Source organism: Homo sapiens, chromosome 2, assembly GCF_000001405.40.
Source record: "Homo sapiens chromosome 2, GRCh38.p14 Primary Assembly".
NCBI lineage: Eukaryota > Metazoa > Chordata > Mammalia > Primates > Hominidae > Homo > Homo sapiens.
The window spans coordinates 232678467-232687019 of NC_000002.12; the positions used below are offsets into that span (position 1 = coordinate 232678467).

At 45.4% G+C, this 8553-nt stretch overlaps 1 protein-coding gene and 1 non-coding gene across 4 annotated transcripts in view; both read left to right on the top strand.

Annotated features, from left to right (window-relative positions):
* EFHD1 (EF-hand domain family member D1) overlaps positions 1-4310 on the top strand; it is a 76720-nt gene extending 72410 nt beyond the window's left edge. For all 3 annotated transcript variants that reach the window (NM_001243252.2, NM_001308395.2, NM_025202.4), the window contains one exon: positions 3119-4310. In NM_001243252.2, coding sequence (NP_001230181.1) covers positions 3119-3253 — 135 coding nt within the window. In that variant the 3' untranslated portion in view covers positions 3254-4310. The remainder of the gene's footprint in view (positions 1-3118) is intronic.
* Positions 497-599, top strand: LOC124906169 (small nucleolar RNA U13). Its single transcript, XR_007088756.1, has one exon. It is a non-coding gene; the product is annotated as a small nucleolar RNA U13 (small nucleolar RNA).

Genomic DNA, 8553 nt, shown 5'->3' on the forward strand with positions numbered 1-8553 from the left:
GAAAACAATGCTTCTTTAGCACGATAAAAGAATATTGGCCGGGCGCGGTGGCTCATGCCTGTAATCCTAGGACTTTGGGAGGCCGAGGCGGTTGGATCACCTGAGGTGGAGAGTTCGAAACCAGCCTGACCAACATGGAGAAACCTCGTCTCTACTAAAAAACAAAATTAGCTGGGCGTGTTGCCGCATACCTGTAATCCCAGCTACTCGGGAGACTGAGGCAGGAGAATTGCTTGAACCTGGGAGGCGGAGGTTGCAGTGAGCTGTGATCGCACCATTGCACTCTAGCCTGGGCAAAGAGAGCCAAACTCTGCTTCAAACAAACAAACAAACAAAAAAGAAAAAGAAACATCTCTTTCACGTGGGAACTTAGGATATAAGAAGATTGGGAGAATAATGGGCTAGCAATAAAAGGTGTTGAGACAATTAGCTATGCACTTGTGAAGATAAAGTCAAGTCCCTACTTTATACTCTGCACTAAAAGAAGTGCACTTAGATCCTTTTGCGGTTCATAATGTGATGACTAGGTTTTCATGTCCATGTGTGAAGTGCGCCTTCCTCCAATCCTGTTAAGATGTCAGCACATTTGCCTTCTGACAGGAAAGAAAAAAAAAGTGAAATAAATGAGCTTATTTTTGTGGCTTAAGGGGCCAAATGGGAACACAAAACCATAAAGGTATTAAAAGGAAATTCAGGAAAATGGGTTTAGAACCTCGGGGGTTTAGAAGACCTCCTTAAACATGACATAAAATGCAAATGGCAGAACGGAAATGGTTGATCAATTTGATTACATCAAAATTTTAAATATGTATATCGTCCCAAATGCCTTAAAGTTAAAAGACGAGCAAAAAACTGGGAGAAAGGAACTAAAATATGTATAACCAGAGACTAATACCTAGTATTTATGAGGAAAGCAAATATTCTTTTATCTTTTTTTTTTACCTTATGTAAATAAATGCAAATTGGGGCTGAGCTCAGTGGTACATGCCCATAATCCCAGTGCTTTAAGAGGCTGAGGTGGGAGAATTGCTTGAGCCCAGGAGTTTGACACCAGCCTGGGCAACATAGAGCAACCCCATCTCTACAAAAAATTGAAAAAATTAGCCTATAGGTGGCATGCACCTATAGGCCTAGCTGCTCAGGATGCTGAGGTAGGAGGATCGCTTGAGCTCGGGAGTTCGAGGCTGCAGTGAACTATGATTGTGCCACTGCACTTCAACCTCAACCTGGGGGATGGAGCAAGACGTTTCTAAAAAAAAAAAAAAAAAGGAACTGCAAATTTAAAGATAATATAATAACTGAATAGAAACGTGGGCAAAGGATATAAATGGGCAATTTACAAAAGAGGAAATAAAAGAAGGTGCCAATTTTTTGGCTATCTGATTGGCAAAAAGTAAAAACATTAATGATAACCTTGGCAAGGTTGTGGGGAAATGAGAGCTTCCAGTTCATGATTGTGGGTGTGTAAATCGGAGCAGCTACTTTGGAGAGCAATTTAATAGTCTATTTAAATAACGTACATAAGGCTGGGTGTGGTGGCTTATGCCTGTAATTCTAGCACTTTGGGAGGCTGAGGCAGGTGAATTGCTTGAGTTTAGGAGTTCAAGACCAGCCCGGGCAACGTGGTAAAACCCTGTCTCTACTAAAAATACAAAAATTAGCCAGACGTGTGATGACGTGTGCCTGTAATCCCAGCTACTTGAGAGGCTGAGGCAGGAGGATCGGTTGAGCCCTGGAGGCAGAGATGGCAATGAGCTGAGATTGCGCCATTGTACTCCAGCCTGGACAACAGAGTGAGACTCTGTCTAAAAAAAAAAAAGTACATACTCAGCGTGTTTGGAAATTTTATAAATTGAGACACACACTCACAGAATCAGTTCTAGAATAGAGGATTTTTAGATGGGTTTATCTGATATTATTGAAGACAAGTTGTTAGATTTAAAATACTCAGATGGCACCAAATTCCATTCACAATACCAACAAAAACATGTAATATCTAGAAGTAAATATAGAACAATTGATTTAGTGAGCAACATAAAGGCATAATTGAATGAAAACTGAGGCATTCAGGGAAAACTGTATTTTTAAAAATTATTATTATTTTGAGATGGAGTCTCACTGCAGCCTCGACCTCCAAGGCTCAAGCGATTCTCCTGCCTCAGCCCCTGAGTAGCTGGAATTAAAGGCACACGTCACCATACCTGGCTAATTTTTGTGTTTTTAGTAGGGACAGGATTTCACCATGTTGGCCAGGCTGGTCTCAAGCTCCTGGCCTCAGGTGATCCGCCCGCTTCAGCCTCCCAAAGTGCTGGGATTACAGGCTTGAGTCACCGCGCCCAGCCCAGGGAGAAATGTATTTTAAAGGTACCCCTTTGCCATAGACAGATGGATGCAATTCCAATAAAAATCCCATGAGGGGACTGGGTGCAGTGGCTCACGCCTGTAATCCCAGCACTTTGGGAGGCCAAGACTGGTGGATCACCTGAAGTCAGGAGTTCGAGACCAGCCTCCAGCCTGTAAATTTTGTAAAAATACAAAAATTAACCAGGCATGGTGGCGTGCACCTGTAGTCCCAGCTACTCGGGAGGCTGAGACAGAAGAACTGCTTGAACCTGGGAGATGGAGATTGCAGTGAGCCAAGATCACACCACTGCACTCCAGCCTGAGCGACAGAGCGAGACTCCATCTCAAAATAAATAAATAAATAAATAAAAAATAAAAAAAATAAATCCCATCAGGGGATTCATTTTGGTTTGCCTTTTTCCCTAGAATTGAACAATATTAGTGTGAAATTAAAATAATGTAAAAATGGTTAATAAACTGGGATGTTAAACTGTATCCTGAAAAAAAAAGTCAAGTAGAATGACCAACCCCAGCAAAAGAAGCACATGGGGGCACAGCAACAAATACAGTGATGTGTTAGAGATGGTGTCTGCGCCAACAGAAAGCAACTTCTGAAGGCCACACGGAAAGAGTGCTTGCTGGGGTCCTGCCCTCCGTGGGCCCACATTCCCTTGTCTCTAGGTCTGCTGAATGGGCTGTTGGCTCAGGTGTCAGCAGCTCCAGGGTCCTCTGCCCTCCCTTACTCGTTTGGTCTATGTCTGCTATTTCTCTGCAGGTCCAAGCCTTGTCATCGGCCAGTAAGTTTGAAGCAGAGTTGAAAGCTGAGCAAGATGAGCGGAAGCGGGAGGAGGAGGAGAGGCGGCTCCGCCAGGCAGCCTTCCAGAAACTCAAGGCCAACTTCAATACATAGTCCTGCTGACCTTGCCCTCTGCCCACAGCTGTGCCTCACAGATGCCCCGAGAAGAGATGACTAGGCATCTTCATCACTGCTGTCGGTCCCCTCCCTGAGCCAGCATCTCCATCCACCACCCCGTGCCAGCTCCCGTGCCAGCCTTCATTCCTCCCAGTGTCCAAGCCCCTCCAGGAGGGTCCTGGGGTGGGCCAGATGCCTGCCCACCTCTGTCTCCTGCCTCTGCTCCTCTGCCCTTCTTATAGCCAGAACTTGTATCTTCTCAGCAACCTTCACTTTGTCCTTGTCCCTTTACCATTCCCCATCAAAGAGTAGTCTGCTATATCAATTTGTGTAGATATGTCTGTCTTTTTGGGTCCTCAGAGAAAATGCCCATTTTCTCGGAGAATTCTCTGCACTCCTCTCTGCTTCACATTCAACTTCCCTGTTCTCATCTTTGGTAGGATTCTGCCAGTTGCTTTTGCATCTTCTGTTCCTGGGTAATGGTGGGTCTTAATGGAGGCTGGGTGGACCACTGCCCGTCCACTCTTCAACAGGAGGAACAGCATGCCACCATAGTAACACACATTAGAGAAAGGACAGAGGTCTGCTCCTTCCTGCCACCTTTCTCCTGGCCCCTTAGCATTCCCCCAGTCCCTCCCTCTTCACCTTGCTCCGTCTATGTCTTCCCAGCTCAGCCTTTTCCCCACTCTTAAATACTGTACTACTTCACTGTAAGAACGAAAGAATAGTTAGGATACCAATGAGTAAAAGGGTTCCTGTTCACTCTGACTCTGTGCAAATTGTATTACAGTAGACCGCTGACGTTCCCAAGTGACAGATCCAGGGCCTTTCAAACATCCCCAAAGTCATGGCCATACTCACCATTAGCCAGTTTCTAACATCTGTTTCAGGGTATCCAGCTGTAGATGTTCTTATCCCCCATACTTGTGAGTTCTTGGGGTTGCTCACAAATACTAGGGGTTTTTGTTGTATTTTTAACAAATATATCCTAATGTCATATTTATTCTCTTTTGTAACTGCTGTCTTTACAATAAAGAAATCATCTGCCTTTCTATCTTACAGCTATTTCTTTTTACATTGTACAAATAACGTGGCCATCACATCAATGTGCCTGGAATTTTCTTGAATTAAAGGAGAGAGTAGAGTATTTTCTATAGGAGCCAAGTCCCATCCAGGGCTTCTGTTTGACATTGAGTCCTGAAGTACAGTTAGAAATGGGAACTAGAGGCCAGGCACGGTAGCTCACATCTGTAGTCACAGCACTTTGGGAGGCCGAAGTGGGCAGATCACTCGAGGTCAGGAGTTCAAGAACAGCCTGGTCAACATGGTAAAACCCCATTTCTAGTAAAAATATAGCCAGGCATGGTGGTGCATGCCTGTAATCCCAGCTGCTCAGGAGGCTGAGGTGGGAGAATCCCTTGAACCAGGGAGGCAGAGTTTGCAGTGAGCAGAGATGTTGCCACTGCACTCCAGCATAGACAACAGAGCAAGACTCTATCTCAAAAAAAAAAAAAAAAGGAAAGAAATGAGAACTAGAGGGCTGGTTTTCACTCTATATGATTCAGAGTACTCAGCTTATCAGTTGCACTCCTCTTCCCTTCTGTGAGGATGCCTTCAGCTGCAGGGAAAAACCATAGCTTCATTTCTTTTGCATCCTAGATCCCTTGAAACTGTGATGAGAGCCAATGCCCCTCCCTCCTATGTATAATCCAGGATATTTGGGCTACCCATGCAATGACCTCTGTCCCAAGAGAATACCCTTTGCTCCTCAGGAAGGATCATTCTGTTTCATACAGACCCAAGACCTATGCTTTGCAGTCATCATTTTTCTAGCTGGTGTCATCCTCTAGTCTCCCCACCAGAGGGGAGGGACATGAAAAAGGAGTGGAGAGATTCTTACCATACGATCCAGCAATCCTGCTCCTTCCTATTTCTTCAGATTACATGAGAGCTTATGTCCATGCAAAAACCTGCACATGAAGCTTTTGCTTTTGTTTCTGATTTTTTTGAGACAAGGTCTAGCACTGTCACCCAGGCTGGAGTGCTGTGGTACGAAGATGGCTCACTGCAGCCTCAACCTCCTAGGCTCAAGTGATCCTCTTGTCTCAGCCTCCGAAAGTGCTGGGATTACAAGCATAGGCCACTGTGGCCGGCCTGCACATGAATTTTTATAGCAGCTTTATTCATAATTGCATAGACTTGGAAACAATCAAAATGTTCCTCAATAGGTGAGTGCATAAACTATGATACGTCCGCACAATGGAATATTATTCAGTGATGAGAAGTATTTACCAATAGAAAGAAATGAGCTATCAAGTAATGAGAAGACATGGAGGAAACTTACATGCATACTGCTAAGTGAAAAGCCAGTCCTAAGCTTGGTGCAGGACGCTTGCTCATAGTTCTAGCTGCTCACGGCTGAGGAGGAAGGATAACTTGAGCCTCGGAGTTTGAGTGCACCCTGAGTAACACAGTGAGACCCCATCTCAAAAAAAAAAACTAATCTGAAAAGGCTATATGCTATTTGATACCAACTATGGTATGACATCCTAGGAAAGGTAAAAGTGTGAAGACATTGAAAAGATCAATGGTTGTCAGCGAGGAGAGAGGGAGGGATGAATAAACGCAGCACAGAGGACTTTTAGGGCAATGAAACTTATTCTCCATGATGCTATCGATGCTGGTGGATGAATGTCTTATACATTTGTCAAAACCTATAGAATGTGCAACACAAAGAATGCACCCTAGGCTGAGTGCAGTGGCTCATGCCTGGAATCCCAGCACTTTGGGAGGTGGAGGCAGGAAGATCACTCAAGCTCAGGGGTTTGAGACCAGCCTGGGCAATATAGTTAGATCCTGTGTCTACCAAAAAACTTTTAAAACGCCAAGCTTGGCCGGGAGCGGTGGCTCATGCCTGTAATCCCAGCACTTTGGGAGGCTGAGGCAGAGGGATTGCTTGAGCTCAAGAATTTGAGACCAGCTGGGGCAATATAGTGAAACCCCATTTCTATCAAAAATACAAAAAAATTAGCTGGGCATGGTGGCAGGCATCTGTGGTCCCAGCTACTTGGGAGGCTGAGGCTGAGGTGGGAGGATAGCTTGAGCCCAGGAAGTGGAGGTTGCAGTGAACTGAGATCGTGCCACTGCACATCAACCTGGGTGACAGAATGAGACCCTGTCTCAAAAAAAAAAAAAAAAAAGGCCAAGTGTGGTGGCATGCGCCTGTGCTCTCAGCTACCCAGGAGGCTGAGGTGGGAGGATGGATTGAGCCCAGGAGGAGAAGGTTGCAGTGAGCCAGGATCATGCCACTGCACTCCAGCCTGGATGACTGATTGAGAGCCTGTCTCAAAAAGGAAAAAAAAAGAATGCATCCTAATATTAACTATGGAGTTTAATAATGCATCAATATGGGCATATCAATTGTAACAAATATACCACATTAATATAACATAATAATAGGGAATGGGGAGTTAGGGTGAGAGGGGTACATGGGAACATGTACTTTTGGCTCAGTTTTTCTGTAAACCTAAAACTTCTCTAAAAAATAAAGTCTAGGGTGGGCGTGGTGGCGGCTCATGCCTGTAATCCCAGCACTTTGGGAGGCCTAGGTGGGTGGATCACCTGAGGTCAGGAGTTCGAGACCAGCCTGGCCAACATGGTGAAACCCTGTTTCTACTAAAAATACAAAAAATTAGCTGGGAGTGGTGGTGCACGCCTGTAATCCCAGCTACCCGGGAGGCTGAAGCAGGAGAATTGCTTGAAAACTGGAAGGCGGAGGTTGCAGTGAGGTGAGATGGTGCCACTGTACTCCAGCCTGGATGACAGAGCAAGACTCCATCTCAAAAAGATAAATAAATAAATAAATAAATAAATAAATAAATAAATAATAAAGTCTAATGGTGAAGGAGACGAGAAAAAAAGGCTATTCATTTAAAAAGAAGGAAGAGAATGGAGATAGCAGTGTCATTTACTTGAAGCATCCGTTTGCCTTTCTGGACAAGTGGGCCCACATAAGAGCTAAAACTCTCGATTGCTTGTCACAAATTGTGAAAATAAAAATAAATAAATAAGGCTGGGCGCAGTGACTCATGCCTGTAATCCCAGCACCTTGGGAGGCTAATGCAGGTGGATCACTTGAGGTCAGGAGTTTGAGACTAGCCTGGCCAACATGGCAAAACCTCATCTCTGCTAAAAATACAAAAAAATTAACCGAGCGTGGTGGCGTGTGCCTGTAGTCCCAGCGACTCGAGAGGCTGAGGCAGGAGAATCCCTTGAACCCAAGAGGCGGAGGTTGCAGTGAGCCGAGATCACACCACTGCATTCCAGCCTGGGTGACACTGTCTCAAAAAATAAAAATGAACAATAAATAAATAAAACTTTTGATTGCAAGCAATAGAAACAACTTCTGATTGCAAGCAATAGAAAATCCAACACGAAAGGACTTCAGACAAAACAGGACACGTGGGGCCATGTCACTACAAAGGCCAGGTAGAGGATGTCGTTCCTCCCTCTTGGCCACAGAGTCCCCGGGAGGCCGCTCCCTTGTGCCTCCCACCCTCCATCTCCAGCGCCATGGTCACAGCTCAGACCTTCATAGGTTCCTTCCTGGGTCTCTACCGTGAGCTCCTCATTGGTTTCTCTGCCCTCATTATACCTGATTGTCCGCTTTGCAGCTGGAGTAATTCTTAGAAAATGCAAACCAGTTCTTAACATCTCTCCTTCAATTTTTGATTCCCCACTTGCAGGAGCTGGCCCCAACTCATCCCTCCAACTCCATCTTTTGTCCCTCCTCCCTGCCCTGTCTCCTTCCAAACTCTACACTCCTGGTATATGCGATGCCTAACTGTTCCTAGAAAATTCCACACCTCCAGGCTTTTGCATATGTGGTTTCCTCTGCCTGGCACTCCCTCCCTCCCTTCCACAGGTGGATTACTTCTCACTGTTGAAGACTCAGCTCAGAGATTATCTTCAGGAAGCTTCCTTGATGCTTCCAGGCCAGGTAAGGTGTCCCTTCTCAGGGCTCCCATTTCCCTGAGTTTCTCTCTACTGTAATCCTGACAGCTTGAGGCAGTAGCCATCTCCTTACTTCTCAGCCCCGCTGTTTGGACTGTGTACTCTTTGCAGGGCAGGAAGTTTGCCTTGCCTATTGCTATAGGCCCAGCATGCTGCGTGGCATGTAGCAGGCAACCTTGCATGTTGGTTTCACAAGGACATGCCAGGTTTGTTAAAGCAGACAGATGGGCAAGGCAGGATCATTACCACTGATGTCAGAGACTTCTGAGTACTCCACCATGAGA